The 27,191-nt window shown below is 44.5% G+C and overlaps 1 protein-coding gene and 1 long non-coding RNA gene across 6 annotated transcripts in view, besides 1 other annotated feature; one reads left to right on the plus strand and one right to left on the minus strand.

Moving 5' to 3' along the window:
• TSHZ3 (teashirt zinc finger homeobox 3) overlaps positions 1–27,191 on the minus strand; it is a 201,002-nt gene that overhangs the window by 171,880 nt on the left and 1,931 nt on the right. The window lies entirely within an intron of this gene.
• The window catches only part of TSHZ3-AS1 (TSHZ3 antisense RNA 1), a 101,016-nt gene continuing 73,900 nt past the window's right edge, over positions 76–27,191 (plus strand). Inside the window, exon 1 of the long non-coding RNA XR_002958388.2 lies at positions 76–27,162. This is a non-coding gene — a long non-coding RNA (TSHZ3 antisense RNA 1). The remainder of the gene's footprint in view (positions 27,163–27,191) is intronic.
• Positions 19,048–19,572: an enhancer, noted in NCBI's record as "H3K4me1 hESC enhancer chr19:31831709-31832233 (GRCh37/hg19 assembly coordinates)". NCBI's record gives its function as "activates a minimal SCP1, AML or CMV promoter by ChIP-STARR-seq in naive H9 embryonic stem cells {active_cell/tissue: H9 hESC(naive)}" and the evidence as "EXISTENCE:reporter gene assay evidence [ECO:0000049][PMID:30033119]".

Raw genomic sequence — 27,191 nt, forward strand, 5'->3', positions numbered from 1 at the left:
GATTACATATTTATTAAATATATATTTTTATATATATTATGTATGAGTAAACGCATTTCCTTGAAGATGTTTTTTCTTTTTCTTTTTTTTTATACTTTAAGTTCTGGGGTACATGTGCAGAACGTGCATGTTTGTTACATAGGTATACACGTACCATGGTGGTTTTCTGTACCCATCAACCCATCACCTACATTAGGTATTGCTCCTAATGCTATCCTTCTCCATTCCCCCTACCCCCAAAAAGGCCCCGGTGTGTGATGTTCCCCTCCCTGTGTCCATATGTTCTCATTGTTCAACTCCCACTTATGAGTGAGAACACGCAGTGTTTGGTTTTCTGTTCTTGTGTTAGTTTGCTAAGAATAATGGTTTTATGTTTGTTTGTTTTTTTTTGTTTTTCTCAGACGGAGTCTTGCTCTGTCACCCAGGCTGGAGTGCAGTGGCACAATCTTGGCCTATTGCAATCTCTATCTCCTGGGTTCAAACGATTTTCGTGCCTCGGCCTCCCAAGTATCTGGGATTACAGGTTCCCGGCCAACACACCTGGCAAATTTTTGTATTTTAAGTAGAGACAGGGTTTCACCATGTTGGCTGGGTTGGTCTCAAACTCCTGCCTTTGCCTCCCAAAGTGCTGGGATTACAGGCGTGAGCCCCCGTGCCTAGCCTTATGTATGTATTTTTTTTTAGAGACTAGGTCTCACTCTGACATCCAGGCTGCAATGCAGTGGTGCAATCATAGCTTACTATAGGCATGAACTCCTGGGCTCAAGGGATTCTCCCATCTCAGCCTCCCAAGTAGCTGAAACTACAGATGCATGCTACCATGCCCAGCTAACTTTTAATGTTTTGTAGAGACCAGGTCTCACTATGTTGCCCAGGCTGGTCTCGAACTGCTAGCCTCAAGCGATCCTCCTGCCTCGGCCTCCCAAAGTGCTAGGATTACAGGCATGGGCCACCATCCCCAGCCAGTACTTACTTTTTGAATGGATGAATGAGTGAAGGAATAAATTAGTGATGGACATAATAAAGGAATGAGTGAATGAATGAATGAATGAGTGACAGAACGAATGAATGACTGAATAAATGAAACTAATTATTTAGTTACCTTCTTCCCAGCCACAAAGCTCTCTGATACAAGATAACATCAACATCAAGGATTAGCAATATATGTCTATTGATGAAAATTTGGAAAATAAAGGCATATAGAAGAAAGCAGAAAAATAAAAACCCTTACATTTTGGAGTGCTTATTCCTTTTATTTTCCCTTTATAATGTGTGCATGTGTGTGAATGTGTTGGGTTGGTATTGTATTTGGCAACCTGCTTTTTTCACGCAACATTGGGTCAAGAGCATTTCTCTCACATGAAAATGTTTTAAACCAGCCTTCTGCTATCAAATGCTGAGATAACCTCAAAGGAGTGGAAGTCCATACAGCCAGACACCAAAGGCCAGGCCTCCCTCTTCCAGCCAGGAGCTGCCCAACTCACCCAGGAGCATGCTGCCACCGTAGATCCCTGAGTTCCACAGAGTAGCCTATGATCATGAACTTCACTGCATGGCATTCAGCACTCTTTACTATTCAATGGTTTGGGGGCCTTTAAAAATCAGAAAGCAAATGCTATGATCCAATGGTGAGCTCCCGTAAATAGGTTTAATTGTAAAACATCACATTTATTCCAGATGTGAAGACACATGAGTTTTGCCATTTAAGTAGAAAGACAAAGCATAATTCTATCAATGCATATTTTTCCTTTTCTTTTCTTTATCTTTGTTGTGGGTTTTGTTGTTCACCTCTACACAGCTTCATTGTCAAAGAACTCTACCAAGTGGGAGCACTGGATTTACCTCTGCTCTCAGTGATGCGGCTGGTTTACGAATACCCAGATGATTTCACATTTGTAGACCCAGGATAAACTTTAAGAAATGTCCACATCTAGACCAGGAAGAAGTTGGCTTCAGGTGCAGATACATCAGGGTAGACCCACCACAGTCTCCCACACAGTCACCCCATCCACAATCACCTTCCCACACTGCCACACACCTCAGAAAGATGTTTTCTCCCAGGTGGTAAAGACAGCAGCTGCTGCTCTTGTACTTGAACCTGGCCTCCAACACACACACACACACACACACACACACACACACACACACACACACACACACACAGTGCATTGCAGGATAGGCAGCCTAGGGCATCCCTTTGCATGTGGGGCTACCCTCATTCAAGGCATCACCGAGGGCTCAGGGATCAGAAGCCACGAGGGGCATCTTCACAACCAAAAGCAGGAGGAAAAAACGTCTCCGCAGCACCCAATTTGATGCTGGCTCTCCGCCCCTACATCAACTTGCACAGCCAAGCCCTCAAGGCTGTGCACACTGGGCCAGCCTACCATCAGTAGAGCAGGAAACCAAGCTACTAGAGAGGCAACCAAGGTTGTTTTGAAAGCGTTATTATTATCATTATGATTTTAATGTAGTAGACTTGTGAGTTTTCCATCATTATAAATCCAGTCTGAATTTTCATTTTTAACGTTTACAATTTGACTATTCAGAATGAAATCTTAAGCAGCAAAGTTTGGAACAAGATGAATACTGCCAGTTGACTTACACCTCCCGCATATAAACAATTGTGTCAAGTTAGGAAAACTAATATAATTTATGTAAATATCCTGATTTCTTTGATATCAACATAACACGATGAAGGCTTCAAATTCAGACACAAGTTTCCAACACTGCAGCATTGAGACAGCTTTCCTTCAAGCACCTTCCAAACCCAAAAGAATGGGCAAGGGGCGTGAAGCCTGAATGGGAAGTGACTTACCACTGGGTTTTAGGTTTGGAGGCCTATGGCCTCTGGTATATGGAACTTCCCTGAAATCTGCCCCACCAGCATTCTGCACCAACTCTCTGACACAACAGTCCCTCTGTCTCCACTACCATTGCTTCTAAAACAAGGGACAACCCCACTTAGAAAGGCAAAGTATCCTTGCATTATGTAGGCCAAGTCCAGAGGGGAAAACCCTTTAAAATTAGAGAATCTCTGGGTATAGTGATTCCATGGAAGCACAGTGATTTTTTTTTTATTTTTTCAATTCCGTAAGTGGAAAGTGAAGAAACCATTTTCATATGAGCATATTTTTCTCCAAGGAACAGTTAGAAAAATGCTGATGTGGTGTCTCAATACGTTTTACTACAATGCCATCAATTACATAAAAACAAAATTAAGTCACTGTTTCAAAATCCTTAAATATTATTCAGCTAAAACCCAAAAGGACATTTTCAGTATTCCTCGGTCATTATCTAAGAAGCTCCGCGCTGTAGCCAGCCACCTCCGCTGTGCTCCGTAGGAACTAAACATAGGTAGTATACGGGCACAGTGCCTCTGTGTCTTGGCCGTTGGGCTCTCTGAGCGACCTCAGGTAATGAGGATGCCTATGGAGAGGGCTTCCGCAGTCCGGCCACAGAGCCAGGCTTTACACCCTCAGTGCTTTCACTGGTCGGGACCGGCCAGGGAATGACATGTGAACTTAGGCTGGTCTCAGTTTTCCCGTCCATCCAATGAGGCTGTCCCTGCAGATGAATTTAAAAGGCTGTGATCCTATGAATTTACCTATTTGCTGTCACCCAGAGACTGAAATAAAAAAGGCAAAGATGTCTGAGATGAATACAGGGATTCATATGCTTTCATATCCGTATCCATTTTTGTTGATGCATGGAGGCTTCTGGGTGCCTGCTGAGCGAGAGAAGGGGTTGCTGACTGTGATGCTGTCCTACCTAAGCGCTGACGGCCAGAGACATCACGCGCGCACTCCCACGCAGCTGTGGGAAGCGAAATGTGTGTGATCTTTTTGGAGAACAGTTTGGATATTTATCATTTTGTTAACCTGAACATACCTTTTCAGCTAGCAATTCCGCCTGTAGGACTGCATCCCACAAGGATGTAAGTGGAAGGACATTACTATACAAAGGCGTGTGCAGAAGGATGTTCACTATGGTACTGTTTGTCAAAGAAAAGACTAGAAGCAACCAGAATGTCCATGCAGAGGGTAACTCATTCACTAGAGTCAAACGTGGCCCTTAAAAAGTATAAGGCAGCTCTGTGCAACAAAATATGGTAGGATATAGCAGCTGAAACCTAACATGATATAAGATGATGACTGAGATACATAGATTTGCCACCATTTTATTATGTACAATGTAATATACACAGCAAAGTTTAAAGAATTTTGCCTGTACACCCATCACCTAGTTTAAAACTTTAACATTCCGCTTTATTTGCTTTATCACATATATACCCATCATTCCATGTATCTTAACTTTTGGATGCATGTCAAAGTAAACTGCAGATATCCAAAGTATATTCTTAGACAAAAACAGGTACAACATGGAGTGTAAAGTGTGGATTTCTCATTTAAAATATTTAAAATATACTTTTAATTTAATGGCAAAACTGCAATTACTTTTGCACCAACATAAATATCTAGAAGACTATACTACAAACTGGTATCGGTGCTTGCCCCTAGGGAGAAGAACTGAGGAGCTGGGGTTAGAAGAAGACTCTCTTTTAACTGCATACCCTTTGATTCTCTTGAATATTGCATTATGGACATCATTTTGTTTAATTTAAAGAATGACAATGCATCCACTTTCATGAGAGAAAGCTACTGTCAAATCTTTCAGGGCTCTAGGTAGCTTCTGTAGAGCAGCCCTGCATGCTTAGAAGCCTGGCGCGTGTGTGTGCATGTGCACACGTGCCTGCGTGTGTCTGTGTGTGCATGAGCACGCGTACACACCCACACCCAGATGCTCGGAGCCTGCACAGTGAGGGTGGTGCTGACCTCCCCTCATCTATCGCTGTAAGTCACTTTCTCATGGGGCTGAAACCTCGGAGTGTGAAGCAACCATCTTCAGGAGGCTCATTATTTAATTTCCAAGTAAGCAGCTGCAAAAGACAGCATGTTTGTTGCTGTTAGGGAGAACGGAGCACATGGAAGACAGGAGGGAAAGGCAGTTCCTCTGCTCAGGGTAGCTCTGCACTGCGAGTGCCCATGTCTCAGTCTCCCTTACTGTAAACATTTGTGCAACTTCAAATAAATATCCTCCCCAAGTCTCACGCAGCCTTCGGCTCTGATGGAAACCCTATGTGTGCCCCAGTGTGCCAGTGTGCACAGGCCAGAGAAGCATGCAAATACAGGGGAGAAGTCCAGCTCCATGTGAGGAACGCCAGAGAAGGCATCCTGGAGAGAAGTGAGCAGTCCAGAATGTAGACTCTCCTTCCTTACAGCACTCAGCCAGGCTACTGAAAGGCAGCAGCTTTCTGTTTCATTAAAAAAAAAACCAGCAGAGGAGTAAAAAGCCCTTAGAAAAAACATAGAATTAAACATGATCATGAGAACAGTACTGTAAGCCAAACCTTCAAAGGAAAAAAGAATATTCCACGGCATTACTGGATGTGTTCGACCAATTCCCTTCTTCCCTGAGACCTGTAGCTCGAGGTTCTAGACTTTGAGCCTCTGGGCTACCGCTGCACATTTTTGAACAGCGATCAATTTCCTTGTGTGTTTTAAACCCTGGGAATCATATTCTACATGTGAGAGATAGTAAAATAGATTTTAAAAATTGAGGTAACTGAATATGTGGAGTTATGTCAACATGTCAGAATAAATACCTGAAATCCTTACTTTTCTACATATGAAAGGGATCTGATATCTAATGAGAGGGAAGGAAAATGCACTTTGTTAGCATTCTGCTTTATTCTTGAAAACATGCATATAAGGCTAGTTTTAAAAATCCCTCTGATAAGAATAAGACTGTGAGAACACTGATTTCCACTAGGTGATACACATATGTACCATACATATACATACATATGTAAGAATACATATATGTACACACAATACACGTATACACGCATATAAATATACAGTGTATATGTAACTGAGCCAGGCAGTATACTTAAAGGCAATAATATGATAGTATGAAGGCAATTTGTATCTTACCACATATTGAAATAAAACACCCTGCACAGCCCCTAAACCTCAAAATCCAATACACAAAATGAAACGAATTGCACTGGGAAAAAAAATAAAGAAATGAGAAAATGAACTACGATATTCTCTTATTTGTTTAGTGTTCTCTTTCTCTAGAGTTTACATGGACATTGTCTCTAGTTGCATCTGCAAACCAATACATCGGCTGTCAGATCACTAAGGCATTTGACAACATCATTCTAGAGCCTTTAGTTACTGAGATATCAATAATTAAATGCATTCAGTTCACACTTTGTTCTTGCAGATACCAGCTATTTATCTCTGTCCTCTGAAGAAGCTAATGGTATAATGGGCAAAACATCAAGAATAATTAAGAAAAACGTTGCTACAAACTCTGTCAGAAGAAATATAACTTTTGCCCAGGCCCCCAGCTAGAATTCATTTATACAAGATCCACCCAAAACCAAGGCACCTTTGCTGAAAAGCGAAGTGCTAGGCTCATGGAGCAGGGAACTCACTCACTCTGTCCACCTGAGGGGAAGACCAGTGGGCACTTCTCTGAGTGTGAGCCTTGAAAAGCCTTGGGTGTGTGCATATAGCATCAGCTATAAAACAGCGGGGACTGCGGGCCACGTTGGCACCTCTCCCACACCAGGGATGGGCTCTGGAAGGCCAGCCCAGGCTGACAAATGGCAGCAGGACTGACTTGCTTCAGTGGACTGGCCCCTGCTGATGGAGCCCAACCTTCCTGCAGGCCATTCACCTCCCAGCTGAGCCATCCATGTTTCAAAGCTTGTTTGCAGCATTAGCTGGTACCAAAACAGAAGTTCTGAGAACATCTTATTCAAGGAATGGCGGGTTAAATCTTAACAGGTCTATTTTTCTTTAGTAGAGAGTGTCTCTCTCCTTTCATATCCAATAACAAATAAGAAGAGAGAAACTGTGAGGTGTTTTCTTCTTTAGGTAAGGGTCAGGCCTAGATGGTATATAAACTCCAAACAGATTATATTTTAAGTTGGTGACAATTAATTACAATACCGTATACATACTGCAGATAACACAATTTAAGATTAAAGAATTATCTGGAGCCATAGTAATGGGAGATGACTTTGAAGAGGCAGCCTTCCAGATAAGCCATGTCACATATCTGCATATCCTTTCAAACATCTTTGTCACCTAAGCGGGAGTGGCTCCCAATCACTGTTCACCAATCTCACTTGCGGAAGAGTTGGTAGTCAACTTCCTGTACAGGGGCCGTGTGAGCTCCTGGATGTCTACCTTAAACTTCAAAGAGCCACATTTACAGAAAATGAAATGCTCACATTTCATCATTAAATTACACTAGGCTCCCAATCTTCATGCGGCACATGTATTGCACTGAAAACGGATATTTGTTATTAATGACAAAGATATGGAAAATGTGAAGTTGAAATAAGCTACCCAAACTTAAGAGAAAGAAATGTTACAGGAACTGCTTTGTCAACCCTAATTGTGTAATTACTTCTTGGCTTGGTCACCCAAGCTCCGAGCAAGAAATAAGAGACAATGGTAATTTCTTACTACTGAAATGAAGGTGTCACGCTGCCTTGTGCATTCTGTGTAAGCAGGGCTAAAGTTTACATTTATATCACGTTACCTCCATTACAATCATCCAGGCCACTGCAAGAACTTAGTGGTATAAGGTCAGCCCTGGCAATGGGCACGCTCAAGTTTACTTGCACAAACATTTAATTTAGGCAGAGTGGAGGCATCTCTGCTTTTGGTCATCATCTTACCCCTCACCTCACACCGGTGAAATTGGTGAACTGCTACTGGCAACTTGCAGACTCACAGCAATAAAATAGTGTTTTTAAATGGTGCTAATACAGTGGCTACCAATAAAAATGAACCACTAGATGGCTTTAGATTTTTCACTTCTGAATATCGGAAGATGCATTATTTATGGTGTCAAAGCTAAACCTGGGTACAGCACTTGGGAGTGGGGGTGTTTGTGGAGAGAGAGGCAGGAACACCGCCCTGTGTAACTCCATCCCTTTCTCTCTTCACTCCACAGTTCCCCTTATAGCTCGATAATTAATTACAAGGCCGCATAATTCTATCTTCAGTCCCATCAGCGTTGGGTCAACTAAGAGCAAGGATCACATGCCAAAATTGTTGTGTGTTTTTTTTCCACACCAAGTATGAACCACTCCTCATTCTAATGGAAAAAAGAGCGCAGACACACAACTAGGAAGAGAAAAAAATGAAATTCCATTATAACTGGTTTCCTCAAGCTCCAGCCTAGGATATGAGTAATCATAAAAACTGTAATATCAGCTTTTTTGTTTTCCTTAACACTGGGTTCCTACTTTATTTCCTTTCAAAGAGGGTCAAGATCCTTTTTTTTTTTTTAATTCATAAAAGCTGCTGTGTGATAACCAAAAGGTTGGTTTCTCTCTGTAATAGCTCTGCCTTCCGTGATACTTTTAAATTTGGGGGCAAAAATAAAACTCGCTAAACTCTCAACAGCTGCCCTGAGTGAACTTGAAGCCCCTCACCTGCCTGGCCCTCAGGCCTTCTGGAAACATCTAACGCCTAGCAGGGGTGGAGCAGTGAGCTGACCGGCAGGCATGGACCAGGAGCTGCTAGCACAGGCCTCGGGAGGTGGCCTCCGGGCTGCTTGGCCGTACCTTGAGGACTGGCCTGACGGCTCCCAATGCCCGAGCTCCCATGTGAAGTGCAGGGAGGAGCAGGTCAGTGGCCACAGCAGCCTGGCCTGGCCTGGGTCACACCCTCGGTCAGCATCGCCCCAATGTCACTCTCTAGTTCTGTTTTCTCCTCCCTACCCACTCCCACCTTAACCAGCCACAGGGAATGGCGGGGTGCAAAATGGAGGCTGTTGACCTGCTGTGTGATCCACACCTCCCTCTGGGCTCAAAACATCAATGTGCTTTTAACAAGGAGCCAAGTGCTGTTTAATCCTTGGGCGGGGGGAGGAAAGTCCAGAACACCTATGGGTCATGAAGCAGCCCACGCTGAGAAGGCGACCCCAGACCCCAGACGGAGGTGTCAGGAGCTTGTTTTCCCAGCACTTCCTGTTGGCAGGGTCACAGCTCTACCGAGAGAAGGTGGGCCGTACCCCAGGGCACAGGAATCAGCATTGACATGCCCAAAAACTGACATGCATGCTTGTCCCCCACAGGCACGGGCATGTCCCCAGTCACCATGGTGGCAGAAGGACAATGGGAAACGCAGGGCCTGCCAGGCAAATTCTAGCAAAGACGGGCTTCCTAAAATCTCCCTTCTACATGAGAGCTGCCCAACCCAACGGCAGAGTTATGACTCACCGAAAGGGATACCCCCTCCTTCCCTCTAAGGACTGAAGGAGGGAAACGGCGCATGTAACCCTGGCCTAAGAGAGACCCCCGGGCTGAACCAAAGCATCAGAGATTCAGAGGGCACGCGGGGAATGTGGACAGAGCGACACCAGGCCTTCCTGAGCTCACCTGTACCAGAGCCTCAGGAAACATGTCTGTAAAACCGCTCTCATAGTAAGCACTTTATTATCTACTTTTGGCGCAGTGATGAGTTAAAGGGGCATTAATTTTCTTTCATAGCCTGGAATAGCTTATTTATCATTTTTTTTGTCTTTGTCACTGATATTTCAGATCTGCTGCGAATTGCTGTTTTTTTGTTTTGTTCTGTTTTGTTACTGTTGTTTAATTAATCTGCACTCATACAACCACCAAAACAATCACGGTCCTACTGGTACCAGCAGATGTGGCCGAAATGTGCCCTGAAACTTCCCAACTGCAGCTCGACCCTGCTTGCAGTGCTGTGTCATAACGAAGGGAAGTCAACTCAAGATGCATTTTCTGGAAATGCCATGGACGCACAGAGAGAAGAAACTACAAATAGTGTTGCAAGGAAGGAGGCCAGCGGCTGCATTCACTGTGTCACTGCGGCCAAGGTTTCTGGGTACCTTATGTTCACCACCTGCCACCTACTGTGGTGTCAGAGCTGTCTGGTCCAGCCGGGACAGTCAATTGATTTTCACAGAACGTCCATTTTATGTTTCCACACCAGAGCACGCTGCACCTTCGTAAGGAGGGGTGGCTGCTTCTAAGGGCAGAGCGGCTGGGCCCCAGCCAAGCCTGCCTCCCTGACTGCAGAAGATGTCACCTCCCCCGGGCACTTTCTTCTGGGCAGGGGCAAGGAGGAGGAAGGGAGAGGAGGTACGTGAAGAAGATGTCCCCCATAAAACCAAGGGTGTTCCCTTCTCAACCTCTCCCTTTTCCCCCTCTAACTGAGTCTCCAAAAAATGCATGTTTCCATTCACAAAAAGTATGCAGAATCACTGATGGGAGCAAAAGAAGACCCTTTTTCCTATTACAGGCAAAACCTAGGCTGATTCTCTTGCTTCCTTCAGCTGTCAATGAGGTGGTGTGTTCCCGGCCTCCTGACAATATAATCATCATAAACTTTATTATTACATCTGGAATTTCATGATATGTTTAGTAATTGATTACAGAGACACAACCCAGAATGCGGCTCCCACTCGCTCTGCCACGATTCCAGTAACCTAACTGCTTAATACCCCTGGAATGTATAAACAGTGTTAACTGCTGCATTCCCCACACTGCCATGGCAGAAGGGAACCACGGAGCTGGTGGGGCTCTGAAAGCTCAAGGCCATTTTCACTTACTGAATATAATGTCATGGGATAGAAACTGAGATCACATTTTTTGGAGCCACGATGACCGACGACCCCTCATCAGATGTGATTGGGGCACAAATCCACTAAAATTATCAGCTGTATTGGGGAACGGAGATGTGCCATGAAGTTTGCACAGGGCCATCACCCATCCCTACTTAGTCTCAGTTTGGTGGGGACTCCAGTTTAGGGGACTGTGATTACTGGGGTTCTTCAAAAAAGCTGCACAACTCGCTATTTCTAATTTTATGAACACCGTGATATGAATGCAATGCAAAGCAGAGAAAAAGCCATATTGGGTCAGGCCTGCAATTACAGTGGCTAGTGCACTTACTATCTCATAGGAATAAAGGCAAAAAACAAAAACAAAACAAAACAAAACAGGGGTAGGCCAGGCACATGGCTCACACCTGTAATCCCAGCACTTTTGGAGACCGAGGAGGGTAGACTGCTTGAGCCCAGGAGTTCGAGACCAGCCTAGGCAACATGGCAAAACCCCATCCTACAAAAAATAGAAAAATTACTCAGGCATGATGGTGTGTGCCTGTGGTCCCAGCTACTCAGGAGGCTGAGGTGGGAGGACTGTCTGAGCCCAAGGAGGTCGAGGCTGCAGTGAGCCATGATCATGCCACTGCACTCCAGCCTGGGTGACAAGGGAGATCCTGTCTCACAATAAATAAATAAATAAATAAATAAATAAATAAATAAATAAATAAATCCAGGGGTGAAGGCCACACTCAAAGTGTCTGGGAGTTGGGGCCTCAGAGAGATCTACATGAACAGGGCATTTGTTCCCTCCCACTCCCACCAAGGGAGGGCGAAGAGCAATGCAGCTGCCCTCCCTAACACTACTCCAACTCAGGAGGTTATGACCAAGGACATGCGAGCCCCTCTCTGGGTGAAAATCAGCTCCATTCCCCCTGCAGAAACGCTCCCACTCAGCTCTTGTGCCTACACTCTCCCTCCTGTAACAAGTCAATTTACAAAAACCAGACCCATCTCAGCAAGGGGACCTGGATCGGCCCTTTTCACCCGCATATCATCTTGAACCCAAACAGTCCCTTGAACCAGCAAATCCTCAGCCAACCCCGTGGCATGCAGAGTGTGTTATCTCTCCAGGCAGATCCACTTTATAAACCACCAAAGAAGCCCCATGGAAGGTTCTGCTTGCAACAAAAAAAACAAACATGCTGATGTCACTCCAACCTGAGCTCTTGGGCCCCAGTGATGGGGCCCGGGGGACTTTACAGTGGGATGCTTGTCCCAGAGCTGCCTCTCCAGGCCAAGTGAGCCATCATCCTGGGACCACCTGGACCAGCCAGGCCCCCATGAAACTTGGCCAGCGCGTTCCCGTTAAAAATGGTCCTGCCATTCACCTCAGCCAGGTTCCCGCACGCACGCTAATAAGTACTTGTTTGTTGAACTGAAAAATCATTACCACAGAACACGTCAAGTAATGAAAGATGTTTTCCTTGCAGAAATGTTAAATACTCCACTTCTTTCACAAGGAGCGTGTACGTGTGTTTCCAAATAATACCTTGCTCCCTCCCCACCCACACTACATCAGAAAGTATGGAGCTCCAAGACCCAATTTGAACAGGGCTCATGTTGCACGGCTCTAAGAACCAAGAACATGCTGTTATTTTATTTATTTTCCTTTGCCCAGCTGACTACGTGTTTGTTCTATTAGTTATTCACCTAACCATCTCGGTAGGAACCTCCGTCACTGTCACGTAGGGGAGGGTCCACTCTGCCTTATGATTTTATACAGAAAAGCAAGAGAAAATAACACCACCGCAGCCTCATCTATTACACACCCATAGTATTTGCTAACTAATATATGTGAAAGAGCCATTTTACTACAACCTCAGAGCAGAAACAAAGGCAAGAAATGGAATGGGAACATTTCACCACATGAAAACCACTGATAACCCATCTTCTCCTCTGGCAAATATGAATCTCTGCCCCCTTTCAAAAGCTTTTTGTTAGGCAGATGAGTAATAACAATTGCGTCTTATGCAATGCACTGAGGTCTTTTAAGTGTTTTGGAATGTCTCTACCTACAGGGAGTCACACTGGTTAATTTCTGCTGCCTTTCCCTCTCATCCTAAGGCTTCAGGCAAAGCCAGCAGGGTGGGGGCTGAGCCTGCTTTGAGTCTATGGCAGCTGAGTTAGGAAAAACCAAAATGACTTCCAGGTAACCTTGTCTCATGGAACTCCAGGAGGCAAATACACATCACTTAGATAGAACACTCAAATATCAAGTTGATGCGGGGGTCAGTGGAGTCTTAGGTTTTCTCACCATAACATATGGCTTTGAATGTGGTGGCTCTATCCTGCCATGCCCCCTTGAGACATAAGAGACCTATGTTTATGCCTGGCTCCCATGTCAGAGAATCCATAACCTGGGGACGGAGATGCTGAAATCCTGGCCAAAATGCACACCCACAGAAGCCAAATCTCCTCTAAAGAATAAGCAATCATCATCCCTTCTTCCTGCCCTCTCTCTGTCATGTGTTCAGTGAGTCACTCAAAAAGCTGCCAGGGGTTACCTGGGGGAGCAAGAAACACAAGATCCTGACCAGGGCTCCAGGAAAAATGACCTGCGTGAACTTCTCAAAACTTAAAGACTTTCCCTCTTCTTCACCCATTGCTTGTTTTCCCATTTTTAAGAGGGAGCAAATCTCACTCTAATTTTACTAGCATTAAAGGTTGACATTTTTTATATGTGAATTCACAAATCTACCATAAATGATTCACGGGATCTTTCTTCCTTTGCCCTTCCCCGACGAACCGCCACATTTTGGAACTGCGTTGGCTGACATTAAGCAAAGCGCTTTCTCAGCAATTATTTGGAAAGGAGAGATGGCAACTACAAGAATTTCTCTCTGAGGAACAGAGGAGCTACCCTCACGGCCCACTTCCAAATGGCCAGGTCTCACGGAAGACAGGAGGGCCTCCTCCCCTGCCCGGACACTGCCATCCACCTGAAGCTCTCAAGCCCTGGTCAGGCATCTACTGGAATCTCTGGCATTCCTGCAGCACACCCCGTTGTTGGTCTAGAACAGGTACTGACTGCCCTGGAAAATACTGACCTTAAGGACCACTGCTGTGTGTTCAGAAAACTCAAGAGACTGGTTGTCTCCCACTCAGACTTGTGAGCTTAGAAGGCCACCAAGGAGATTCCGGCTCAAGAACCCAAATCGTCACCTGAAGTCGAAGCCACTCATTTCCCTAAAGGCCAAGTTCTGATAAGGAACACTTGCCCCAGCCTCCTGAACAGGTGAGACCTCTGTGAGGGTACCAGCAGGCCTGGCAGGTGCTTTTGCTTATCTGGGTCTCTCTCTACATATATTTCTCTATCCCCAAAAGGCCAGAGCTGTGTCACCCCCGTGGGCTCCAAGTGCATTCATTACAGAAGGTGGACGTCACACCATGAGGTGCAGCCACCTGAGATTCCTCTGGGACTCTTGGCAAAAAATCCCCGGTGCTGTGACAGGGAGGGAGTCAGGGACGGAGTCCCTAGTGCACTGATCTGGCGTTCCCTGAAAACGGTGTCCCAGCTCAAAAATGTGTTGCTTTCTTCCTTTTCATGAATTCTAATATTCAAGCCTTTTTTCCTCCTGCTAATTTTAGAAGTCCTGCTATTCTTTGGGAAGAGAATGGTGTGAAAATCAAGCATAGTATCCAAAAATAAAAGAGTAGATCTGTTTCAGGGTTTGCAGCATATTTCACTGAAAAGCAACTCCAGATATGCCACTTTCTATCTAGTTTTTAATACATTTTCCAATTCCTCCAGAATATTTTAGCTTCAGAAAAAGCAAGAACGAACTTCCTGAACTATGACAATTTTTTTTGAGGCTGAAAGGGGCACCCAGAATGGTCTTTAAACCATGACTGGGGGCCTTTTCAGAATGTGACGCCAGGTTATCGCTCTCTGGCTGGGACTCTGTAGTGCACTTTGTGGGACCACACGGAGACAGATTCGAAGTAGGATGGATGGATTCTCTAGGTCCTTGAGCATGTTCCAGTTAGGCAAGAGGCCAGAGGAGATGCATAGCTTACTCTGAGCATCTTGACGGTGGACCTCATGGAATGTCTTTCAAGCTTCCCATCTTCATGTTTTAAAAAATCCGGTTATCTAAGGAACGAAGTTTCAGACCCACCAGAACTGTAGAAGGGCATCGGATCCTGGTCAGCAGGGTCTCACTCCAGTTCTTCGGGGTCTGAGACTCTCTGGAAGAGCCAAGAATGTGGGCTGGGGAGTGGAGGGAACAGATGCGGGGCACCAGTGGATACCTGAAGACCCCAGCCTGTGCCTCCTCACCAGCCAGGAAAGCCAGAGATTTTTAACAAAAAGTTAGAACTTTGTGTCAAGCCCTTCAAGCAAACAATAAATATTACTTCTGTTCATAATCAGACTTCTCTCCAGCATCGTCTTTGAATGTTGAACCTTTTTCAATTAATTAAAAACTATGCACTGCAGAGTGCATATTTTATCAGCCCTCAGCTGCTTAAGTGTCTAGAAAAGACCAGGCAGTTTTTCTTTCTTTCTTCCTTTCTTTTTCTTTTTTTCTATTTTTTTTTTTTTTTTTTACAGGCAACCCAGAGCAAGTACTTGCAAGGGTCATATCTTTTTAATTATCTTTTCTCTCTTTGATTAATTATTCCGTCTGACAATAGCGTGTTTCTAATGCTATTCACCTGCCTTTGATGATTGACAACTTTTCTGTCTGATTCAGAGCAAACAGCTGCTGCCACAATCTCCTAGCAACCCGGGTGTGATGGATGAGCCCCCAAGATGGATGGCTGCAATAAATCATGTCTCCAGCCATAAAACTGAGAAAAGGGGATAAGAAGAAAAGCGAACAAAAAACAAAACAAGGTTTCTTCCCATGAGTGCACTCAGTTCCTTACCAATTATACCTGAAATGGACTTTGCACCTATTAATAGCAAAGTTTTTCTAATCAGTAAAAATGGGATGATGGCATTTGTATCAAAGGTGTTTACAATTGTTCCTGCAAATTGGCACTTGTACTCCAATCACCTTCAACACTGCCCAAGTGCAAGGGCAGATGATCAAAGTTTTGCCTTCTTCCACGAAGTCTCAGCAAGGAACAACATCACCTTTGTACCACTGGCTACAATTCCAGGCACCAACAAAGAATACCAATCTGATTCTACCCAATTTTTGGCAGCAGCTGGACAACACCAAAAGTAAATTCTAAGTCATGCTGAATGCAGTGCAAAGTGTTAGGCTGCGAATAAAGTTATTTCAAAATAAACACACACACACACACACACACACACACACACAAAGTTGCCTGGAGTTGATGAGTGAATCAGTACCATTTCCATTTCTTTCCTGTTCATGGCAGTTGCAGGCGTTTTACATGTCAGGGAAAAGTTTGTCCCAGAAGCAGCAAGATAGGAACATTCAGCCCTTTCACAAATTCTAGATTCTCATTTCTTTAGGTAGAAAAACTCTTCCGTTCTAACTTTCTATCCCATCATTCTTAAAAATTAATGTCCACACTGTAAGTCATACAACAAGCCTTTGATTTCATTAGCAACCCCAAATAAAGTCACATATTTAATAGAATCCCTGCCAATTAAATTTGCACTATCGGGGCTCTCCCAGTAGTGTAGATCCAGCAGGAAGGCCTAGAGTTTCTGCTTTCCTTTTTCCACCAGGGAAGCAGGCTGCAAGGCCTCTTGCAGCAGAAGAGGTGGAAAGGCCAGAGCTTCACCGACTCCTCAGGCAGCTGGGGGCTGTGTCAGTGAACCAGGCTGCGTCCCTGAGTACTTCCAGTAGGTGGGGGTGTCCTGGTGCACACAGCTCAAGGGTGCAAACCCAGAAGCGATTAACTGGCAGGGCTTGGGAACAGCTGTCCACATCAGGCCTGGTGGGGGTCTGCTGGGGCCCTGCAGAGGGGACAGAGCTCAGACACAAAGGGGAAGAGGCTGCTGGGAGCCCGGGCAGGGAGCCGCAAAAGATTATTTTTTATCTGAAATATTCCTGAGACGTGGAAGTCTTTACGTTTCTTCATTCTCACACTACTAACCAAGCCAACCAAAAGATTTTTTTAATAGTTATATTGTGCTAAGCTTTTCAGATACGGTGTTGGTTTTTCTTTTTTTTTTCTTTTTTTTTTTTTTTTAGCATGACACGGAGTTTAAAAAAAATCAGACAAGGGTTCTGGCTTCAGCAACTGCAGCTCTGTTTATATTTTAATGTTTTGTACGTGACTGCTTCTGTGGGGGAAGAAAAAGAGGGAGAGAGAAAGTTGCCTGTGAGCTTTAGTGTAAATCACAGATACTTCATTTTTCTCTGTGTCCTTGGAAATTATTCAAAATTAAAGCCTTCCTCCCTCCATCTTTTTTTTCTTTCTTTCTTTCTTTCTTTTTTCTTTTTTTTCCAGTGGGGGAGTCTTCTGTATTGCACATGCGAGGGTTTGTGTCTGGTCAGCTGCAATGAGAAGGCAAGGCCAATCGATAGAAACACACACACAGGCCCCTACCCTGCCCCAGCTTGTCCGACTCTCAAGTTACAGGTTTACACGGCAAGTCTAAATAATATTCAAAATGATAAATGGTACCCGAAGCCCGGCATCCACCATCAATCTTTTTTTAAGGAACATCCATCTTCAATAACGCACGTTTGAATCATGTGAAGTCAGGAGCCCTGAGATTCATTTCTACCACCCTTTGCAAGCCAGGGTGGCTTGAATGATACCTGTCAACCTTTTTCTTTTTTCTTTTTTTTTTCTCTCCCCTTGACTAATGGGGAAAAAAAAAGGCAGGGAAAAGAGAAAAGGAATGAGAAAGGGGGGAAAAAAAGTCAGAAGAGTGTCAAAGGCTGAACAGTGTGGTTTAGCAGATAATATGAATGAGCATAACCTCTCCCGTGCCTCTGCCAATCTCCCACCCGCCACGCCACGCACCCAGCCATCCAGAAGCAGGCTCTACCCCCTTCTCCCCTGCCCAGCCTCTTTCCTCCCTTTCCCTCTTGCCAAATCAGCAGAGCTCCCTCCTGCAAGCCACAGGGTACAGTACCAAGAGGAGGAAGAGACAGCCTCACATGGACCTGGGCTTCCCTCCCCTCCCCGTAGTCTGGCTGGGGCCCATATGATAAATGACATATGTCATTCTGTCAGGAGGGAAGGGTGGGTCAGTGATGTATGACTCTGCTGAAAAGGAAATCGACTGTTTGGCATGGTGCAGCTCTTCTCCACCAGGATTTAGTTTCAGAACTCTGAAATGAATTCTCCGACGTTTCAAGTGCATACTTAGGGCAGGGTGATGGGAGGCCTGGGAAATCGTACTCCATCCTCCCACTGCCCTTCCCATGGCAAAAAGGAAAAAAAAAAGGGGGGGGCGTTCTGCTGCTGATACCTGCAAAAGGCCACGCACGTGTCGAAGTCCCTAGCTGTCGCAACACCGTGGGTTATTTAAAAAAATTGACTTTAAAAAAAAAAAAAGAAAGAAAAGAAATCAAGTGGAGTCAGGTTAGCCCTTTTATTTATTTATTTTTTAATGGCAAAGGGCTGACACAAAAGCAAGATAAAAATTAGCATGTTTGAAGTAATCGTCCCGCAGCTTGACATCTGCATAGTAAATTTTAAAGGAAAAAAATGTGTCAGACAGCCATGAGCCGCCTCGCCCTCCCCCTTTCATTAGCTCACTGCCAGGGTGGCACTGCTGAACCTCATTATGGCGAGAGGATTTATGAAGCTGAACCCAATGGCAAAGAAAAGGCATCTGTCAATAATTGTAGGGAGCTGCACTCACAGCTTTGAAATCTCATTAAGTATGCAGTTATCAGGCATAAAGATCAAAAACATTACTCAACTCCGACAGAATCTTATGGAGGAACATTAATTAGCAACAGGCCTACAGTACAAAAAAAAAAAAAAAAAAAAAAAAAACCACAGACTTCCTCTCACACCTGCCCAACCCACAAACCTAAAGCAACACTCCCCCTCCCGCCTGAAAAAAAATAATTCCCAGCATCTGAAACTGATCAAGAACATGAAACAAGAGAGACGCACACAGAAAAGGGGAAAGGGAGGGAAGGGGTGGGCGGCGGGCAGGGAGGAGGGGAGAGGGAGGGCGGGGAAATTCAGTTGAGAAAGCCTTGGCGGTGAGGAGAGAAAAGGAAGAAGCTGTCAAACTTGAGAAGGATGTCAGTGCGGGCCCTGATTACTGGGGCCTATGGAGTTCTCAGACCTTTTATCATCATCACCATCAAAACCAGTCTAGGAGTCACTACCGGGAGGACTGGGGGCTGCAGGTTTGCAGCCCAGGCCCAGGGCCCAGACCCCAGGACCCTCTCCTCCAGCCCCTGCTTACCTGGCAGGCAGGAGGCTGCAGGGCCAAGACCCAGGAGGCAGGCCCCGCTTTCCCCAGCCAGTCTGCACCCAGCCAGCTAAAGCTGGCAGCAAGACCTGCCTTCACAGGCTCTGGACACAGGCCAGGGAACCACTGCGTTCACCTTCCATCTCTCAACCACTGTAACACACCTTTTTCTTCCTCCAAAGAGACTGCAGCATCCCCTTCTCACACAGGCACCTTCTGTTATTTGATTTCTGTGTGCAATCCCTTACTGAAAAATACAATATAGATGGGGGAAGGCACGTGGAAACTGCCAAGCTGACCCTGAGTCCCGAGGCCTCCAGACCTCTGTAACACTTGGGACAAGGTGCAGCTCATTACGGGTGTCCAGCAGATCCACACACTAGTTTGACTCTAGGATCTCCAGGAAGGTAAAATTAAATGGCAAGTTTCCTACCCCACCACATTCTAGCCTCTTGCAAGATGCATTGGCAAAGAGTAATGTACATAATGTACATGTGTTTCAGAAGCATCCCACAAGTATTGCGCACTTGGGGTCTCAGGCAAACTTCCCTGATGTCCTGTGGTGGTCTGGATCCAGGGTAGGTGCACAGAGGCCTGATGGGGTGGGAGTGTGTCTCAAATACCACACAGGTTTCAGTCCAACAGGCAACATCAGCCACTCCCGGACATGTCATGCAACAGTGAGGCACCATCTGTAGCCCCCACCCCCATGAAAGGTGTAGGAAAATAATAAAGTAGATATCCTGCATGTTATTTCCCTTATTGCACTGTTATAGAAAGGTGGCCTTCTCTGTTCACCTGCTAGCATGCACTCACTCTCTCTCTCTCTCTCTCTGACACACACACACACACACACACACACACACACACACACACAGCACTTCCCACAGTCCCACACCATAAGAAAACCTACAGAACAGCTCCTTTGATCCGAATCCTCTGCTAGCATTCTCCTGGCTCCTCACTCACTCCTAGGCCACATTCTTCCCTGGTTCCACGGCTACTTCTGAAGTGTTTACCTCTCTGGTCTACTCAGAAGACAATGGTCACCTTTTCATAATTAGCCACATCTTTAAGAAAACGGGCATTAAGATTCCTAGGCAACCAGCTTGGAGATCCCTCCAAACCAAGGCCCATCTTTTCCAATAAATGCCTCTCCTTTAGAATATCAATGAACACAGCTCGAATAAACTGTCACCTATGACCAAAAATAGGAACACTTGTCTATAAACCAGACTTGATGAGAAGGCATTTTAGCAGGAGTATTACAATAAGGTGTTTACATTTTTTATGTACTTACCATATTACCTTTATTATGTGTAACATCAAAGTGATTATAGCAATTACATCTAACAGAATTAATTACAGAACTTCGTATCATTCCAGGATACATAATGCATTAGAGGTAAGCCAAAGAAAGAAAACATCTTGATTGTGGTAACTATTGTTGGGGTGTATTTTCTCTAGCAGCAATGCCACACCAACGGCAGCTTTCTGAGCAATGGAAACTGAGGGGTTTAACAGGGAAAAAGCTGTATTCTCTTAAAATTGAACTCATGCTTTTTGCTTAATAGTACGTTGGTGATAGTGGACATATAAAATCAATTTAATTTTTTAAGTGTAAATCTTTAAAAGGTGCTGGTTAATCCACCCAACCAATGTTAATACATAAAGGAGAAAGCACATGGGTGAAAGACTTACAAGTCTTTACGTATGCAAAATAAATTCACTCAAGGCTTCATTAATATTAATTTAAATTCAAAACCCATTTACATTAAATTGTTCATTAAAAATTGCCTATTTTATGCAACATGCATTTCTCAAAGAACTCAGAGGAAACTGAATACATAGGACTAGATTTAATGATGGGAATGGAAAATCAAAAGTAAATGAATTGGAGTCATTTCACGTATATTACCAAACAGCCCTTTGCTCTCCATTAAGGATGGGTTCCACTTTGGGAAACAAATATATTTTCTGAATATTGTGTTTTCCATTGCTATAAACTTGTAAACATGACCTTCTGGCCTACCACAGAGGAAAAAGAAGAAACACAGAGAAACTGGTGGAAGGGAGAGGGCAGCCAATCCAAAACCTGGCTAACATTAAAACAGGGATGGTTTGCCTTCGGATCTCACCTGGATTCACAGTGCATTGAGAGTTAGGCTTGCGTTTTTAAAAATGTACGTAAGTTAGCATCTGCCAGTGCCCATCTTGATCTAGAACTAACAGTGTCTCTCTCCCCTACACTCTACCCTTTACAATCCTTTATTCTCTTAGCGAGGTGACCAGGAATGCGATGACAAGGAGTTGGTAAGTTCCTTGTGCCCTCCCTCCCGACAACAATCTGAACTTACCCTGTTTCCCCAACAGCTGTTCTGGATGAAGAAAACACAGTCATAATTAATAACATGTGTCCTGACAGTATGAATTAATAATTTATCATTAAGCCCAAACAAATTTAAATTATTCTTCAAGAGCCACACCTTTGCATATCTGAGAAAATAAGGTAAGGAGATGGTTAAAATGTCCAGGTAACGTGACCTTCAGTGAACTACTCGCCCCCACCCCCCGGACTGTATCTCTTGGACTATTCTTGTTGAAATGCTAAAATAATTTACAGAATTGAAAGTAATTAAACCCAAGAATCTAAATGCTGATCAAACTAAGTGCATGTGCTAGAAATGTCTTCTTTTTTAAATGGGGCTTATAAAATATTCAATATTTGGTCAAGGACACTCTGTAATCTTTCTAATAAAGATTCCTAAACCTAGAGTATGACAGTTGTTCAGGCAAGTGGTCATAAGAAGATTATGTTCTATTACTGTCTTTTTTTTTTTACTTCCAAAAATGCATAGCGTTATTCTGGTCACAAACAGTGACCTGAATTTTTAAGTCCATTTCTAAGCGTAAATTTCTACAAATGGTGAAAAATTAAGAAAAGCTACCAAGTCTATGTCTCCAGTCCTTACAATTCAGGTTTTTTTTTTGTTTTTTTTTTAAAGAAAATCCAGAAACAGGGGAAAAATATTGATAGCCATTGTTTAGTGGGATTTAAAAATTTAGTGACTAATTGCAAATACTGGAAACTGGAATTAATCTGTCTGGATTTTTTTAAAAAGGCTTACAGACATTTAAATGCATGTATCGGGACACTTTATCAACCTAACATAAAATTGTCATCTTATCTTATTATATGACTATTTTATGCATGTGTCAAAGAATTTAAAAATGACTGCCTGTCTATTGAGTCTAATTACAACTGCACATTATCTGTCTGGATGTACCAGTCCATATCATTGTTACTAAATACAATATATTGTATTCACCTTTCATTTGTAACTTCAGACAGAGAAACCACAATTTAGAGCATAACTAAAACACAGACACAGACACACACACGCACACACAGAGTGAACACCTGCAAGGGTTTGGGATACTGGATACCACTGTTCCCTTCTGTCCTTTTCCCCTCCATGGGCTTTGAGGGTGATGCTACAGGGGTGTGATAAAGCAGCTGATTTGAAAGATCCAACTACCTACCTGGGCTGGACACTAACACAGAAGGGTAGACACACACACCCTACTTTATTTCATTTTTATTAATTGTTTTACGACATGACCAAAGCTATTTTTACCCTCTGCCCAGTGACAGGCAGGGATGAAAATGGGGCAGGAGGAAAGCCTTACAAACTGCACTTGGGATAACTGTGAACTGCTGCCACTCTTGGATTAAACATGGCTGTGTGCACCAGGACCGGGCACTTCCTAATCCTTTCCTCTCTGCCTCCCCGCGGGCCTGCCTGCCTGCCTGCCGCAGCCCTGGCCCCAGCCTGACTCTGGCAGGACACGTGTAAAAGAGAAAGCACCACAAGAGGTCCAGGCACTCTGCCTTCAAGAAGGTAGGTCCTTTCTCTTTCCAGAAATCCCAGGAGTGGAGGGCGGCGGTAAAGGAATGGTTTTAATTCTCTCAACTCACCTGGGTTTCACGGTATTTCCCACAGCCCTGAGCAGTCGCCTTTCATTCTAATCACTTGACAAAACAATCTTTAGCAAAAAGAGGGGAAAAGGCAGACGTGTGAGGCAATTTAGGGAATCGCTGCTGAGGCATCAGTTATTGACTATCTGGCTCCTGTTTATGAGCGCGCTCAAGGCAAAACTGAGAACAAAATGACAACATCAACAGCTCACAATCAAGTGTGGCCCTGGAGAGCACTGAAGCCCTAACTGACAGCTGTCAAGATAATGGGGGCACCGCAGCTGATTCTGGAAGGTTCTCTTCCCCACGTGGACATCCAAGGGAATAGCCTTGCCTCCCACCTCCTTTGTTTTTCTCCTTCGTCTTCTTGGCTTTCCTTTTTAGAATTTGCATTGTTGCTCTCATTTCGTAGGAAATGGGGGAAGAAAAAAATCATAGAACGGTCAAAACCAGTCGCTCTGCCACCTTGCTACAGAGTAGAATACCTGTCCAAGGAGAAATACGTGGCAGGTATGAGACGAAAAAAATTCCCAAAGCTAAGGCCGAAATGCCCTTCTGAATGCTCCATGTGCTTCCAAGAGAGAACGGAAAAGCTCCTTCCTGGAGCTGCCCGATGTGTGGACCAGACTTAGGAAGGTGTCATCTGGACACCACCAGGTGGGCCACCTCTTAGGCATGCCCATGTCTACTGGCAACATGGAACCCCCTCTGGCTGTTCCAGGGGGATCCACAGTGTTCTGTGGCACCAGCAGACCCTAGGGGGTCCAAGTCACTTTCACAAAAGTCAAGATGCTTGAAGATTTACCCTTGCCTTGTTTTTACCACCTAAGAACTCCACGGAACATTACCCCCTTTCAAAGAATATAGCTTGCTGGCAAATTGTGGTTCGATGGTTTCTTTTTGTTTTTTGTTTGGTTTTTTTTTCTTTTGGAAGCATAAGAAATGGTCTTTTATGATTTCACATTTGCCTCCAGAAAATTAATATAAGTAAAATATCTGCTATTAAGTATTACACTAAAATTTTTCTGGCATTTTCAGAAATGTTTTTTAAAAACCACTCTGAACAGGAGAAAATCATGCTTTAAGCAGGGGATAATGGTCATTTTGCCTGAAGGACACTGTCCTTCCCTAACCCCACTCCTCTGAGCTTCTAAAAGCAGCAACATCTGTCCAGCACAAATGCACACCCCCTGGAAATTACAGGTCTCAAGGAAGCAAACTCCCGCCCAGGTTTCTCTTTGGCAGGTAAAGAAACCTCTCTTTCTCTTTGAGAAAAGACCCTAAGCCATACATAGTTTCTATCAAAACATCAAAAAATCCTAAAGTACAGAAATATGTATTTTCAGGGATTCTTGGAGCCTGCTTCGGCCTTCGGGAAAGCAATGATACATTGGCCTAGATATGAAGACCGTGTGTACCTGTGTGCCACGTCTGCTCGCCCTACCCAGCTCTTGGCCTTTTGTGGTTGTTATTCTACCCTAGACCATTAAAAGGGCCCTAATTCCTATGACATGATTATCCAGGTACCAAAGCCCATTTGTCACCTGCAGCAGAAAATTGAGTTAATGCACAACTAAAGGCAGCCAGGACTGTGTAATATCAACTTGATTACATCAAACTAGCTGCAAACCTAATTCTGCTGGATGACACTGCGTCGAGCTTGTCATCTCCAATCATTAAAGCTGTCAGGAATCCATCAGGTTTACAGCTAATTAGGTGAACACTAATGAAGCTGGCAAAACAACTTTTCTTTTTTTATGGCTGAGCGGACCTTTCAGTTTGGAGGGGAAAAAAATTCTCGAGTATTCTCAAGGTTGCTGGGGACTGGATTTCCAGTTACCAATCAGCAGACATCTTTCTTTTCCCCACTCTCTCTCTCTATCAGTACAAAGCAATCAATTTGTCATCACTCCCAGTATGCCACAAAAGCTGGCATGAACCTTATAACTTGCAGCTGGGAAAACTAAAAAAGAGGAGAAAAAAATGGGAAGTTTCTGGTCCATCCAAACAAACAAACCACCCCCAAAAAAAAAACCTCTGTGCATACTTATCACCAGCCTAAATGTGGAGTTTTTTTTTTTTCTCTCCACTCTTCTTAAATAAGTAGCTCTTCAGTCCGCCTCCACCCCCTCCTCCACATGTCCATTAGGCAGAGGCATTCTGATAAAGTAAATCCAAAACCCGAGTATGGGAAAGAAATAAAGCACTCATGCTGCCAGCTTCTGATTGACCATTAAGCTATTGATGAATGTGCCTGTCAGGAGAGAGACAATTAAATCAAATATGAAACAAAGTCGTTTTGACGGGTCATTTTGATAGAGCAAAACCATTCTTCCATCTCCTATTAGTCCTGCAGTCAAGTTTTTTATATAATGAATTTTTCTTAACTGACCTGAGATTTCCTGGCTGGCTTTCTTTAAAAAAAAAAAAAAAGTGTGAAAAGGTTAGTGAACAGGTTGCTCTAAAAATAAATAAATAAATAAATAAATAAAGCCAACAGCAGGTTCCCTCCTCCTCTGATATTTTTCTGGAGGAAGCTATCAAATACGAGTCTCAGATTGGCAGGGTGCAACCGAAGAGATGAACTAGAGAGAGAGTTCTGAACCAAATGTAAAGATGTAATCACATATGGTTCATTGGATGGAGGCACACACATACCTTAAAATGTGTATCCAAAAAGGAAAGAAAAAAAAAATTTCAAAGACTGGAAGAAGCCCAAGACATTCCTACTACTCAACTTTGTGAAGGATTCCTCCAAAGTTTCAGAGTTTATTTTGGGTAGATAAGCTCATTGCTTGAGCCTGGAATTTAAAGTAGAAGGTGGGACGGGCAAGAAGCAAGCTCCAGGAGGTTAACTAGGGAGGCGGCAAGCTCCCTACAATCACTCCTGGAATTTTCAAACTTTCTAAATTTGGGCAACACCGAGGACAGAGAGCAAAACCTGCATCCTAAGCCCCAAACCAACCCTGTTTTCTTCTGAGATTTTCTGAAGACACTGGCAGGCAAGTACATTTCTGGGAGAAGAGAGAATTATCATTCCTTCTCTGTGACCCCGTGTAAGGGGTCTGGAGTGCAGAGTGCAGCCAACGTGTGAGGTCCCCTGGCAGTGCCGGCTGGCATGATGGAAATTATGGGCACTCAGGGCACCATGGCTACAACGCCTTCCTCCAAGATGGGCACCAGCCAATGCCCTGACCCTACTCTCTGCCCTTCCCTCTTAACATCAAAAGAGAAGTAAAAGAAAGGAAGAGAAAAGAAAAGAAAGGAAGCCCCACTTAACCCTCCCCTTCAGGGAGCATCTGAACCTCTGCACATCTGAGTGTTACTCATATCAAAATACATCACGTCCATATGTGGTCCTCTCGGCAATCCGCCCCAAATCCCAAAGTTGCACTGACAGGGCCCTCCTGACGTCACAGAGCTTGGCCTCACTATTGCAAGTGATTTATTGATGTTTATTGGGAATGAATAGATCAAAGGCAGCAGCATGACGGGCGATCAATCAGTCATCAAATCAAGGATGGCAACGGGCCAGAAACCCTTCTTCCAGGCAACATGCCCCCAACCGACATTATTGCAAAATAATGTTATGTGTGTGGTTTTTGTTTTGTTTTCAATGATGCGTTTTCCAGAAAAGAAAAGAAAAAAATCGGCTCAGTCTTAACAGGAGTTGACACTCCCGGTTAAAGAAGAAGAAAAAAAAAAAAAAAGGAGGAACAAAAAAGTACTCAGACACGTCCCAGAACTAAGTGCTATGCGGAGATGAGGGTGGGAGCAGCAGTACAAGGAGGGGGTGGGGGCGAGGAAACACAAACAGGGGAGAAGGAAACGCCAGCATCTAACATGGACTTGACAGTCATCTGACAATACCCAGACCCTGTGCGCTCCGGGTTCCACCGCTGTGCCCAGTTTGGGCCCAAGAAATGAGGAATCAATCGTGTTAGTACTAAGGTGGCCGAGGGGACCGGCTCGCTCACTCGTTCGCGCTCCCTGGCTCGGCGGACACCAGGCAGTCCCCCGGCGGTCGGCCGCTCGGAGGACGCGGAAGATGTCCCGGGGAACTCAGGTGACCCCGCCCGCCACCCACAGAAAGAGCCAGGCCGGGGTTGCTTCCCATTCCCTCTGCAGCCGGAGAGCTGAGGAGGTAGGGACCTGGCGCGGCTCAGCGCGCTC

The sequence above is a fragment of the Homo sapiens genome, chromosome 19, assembly GCF_000001405.40.
Source record: "Homo sapiens chromosome 19, GRCh38.p14 Primary Assembly".
Taxonomy (NCBI): domain Eukaryota; kingdom Metazoa; phylum Chordata; class Mammalia; order Primates; family Hominidae; genus Homo; species Homo sapiens.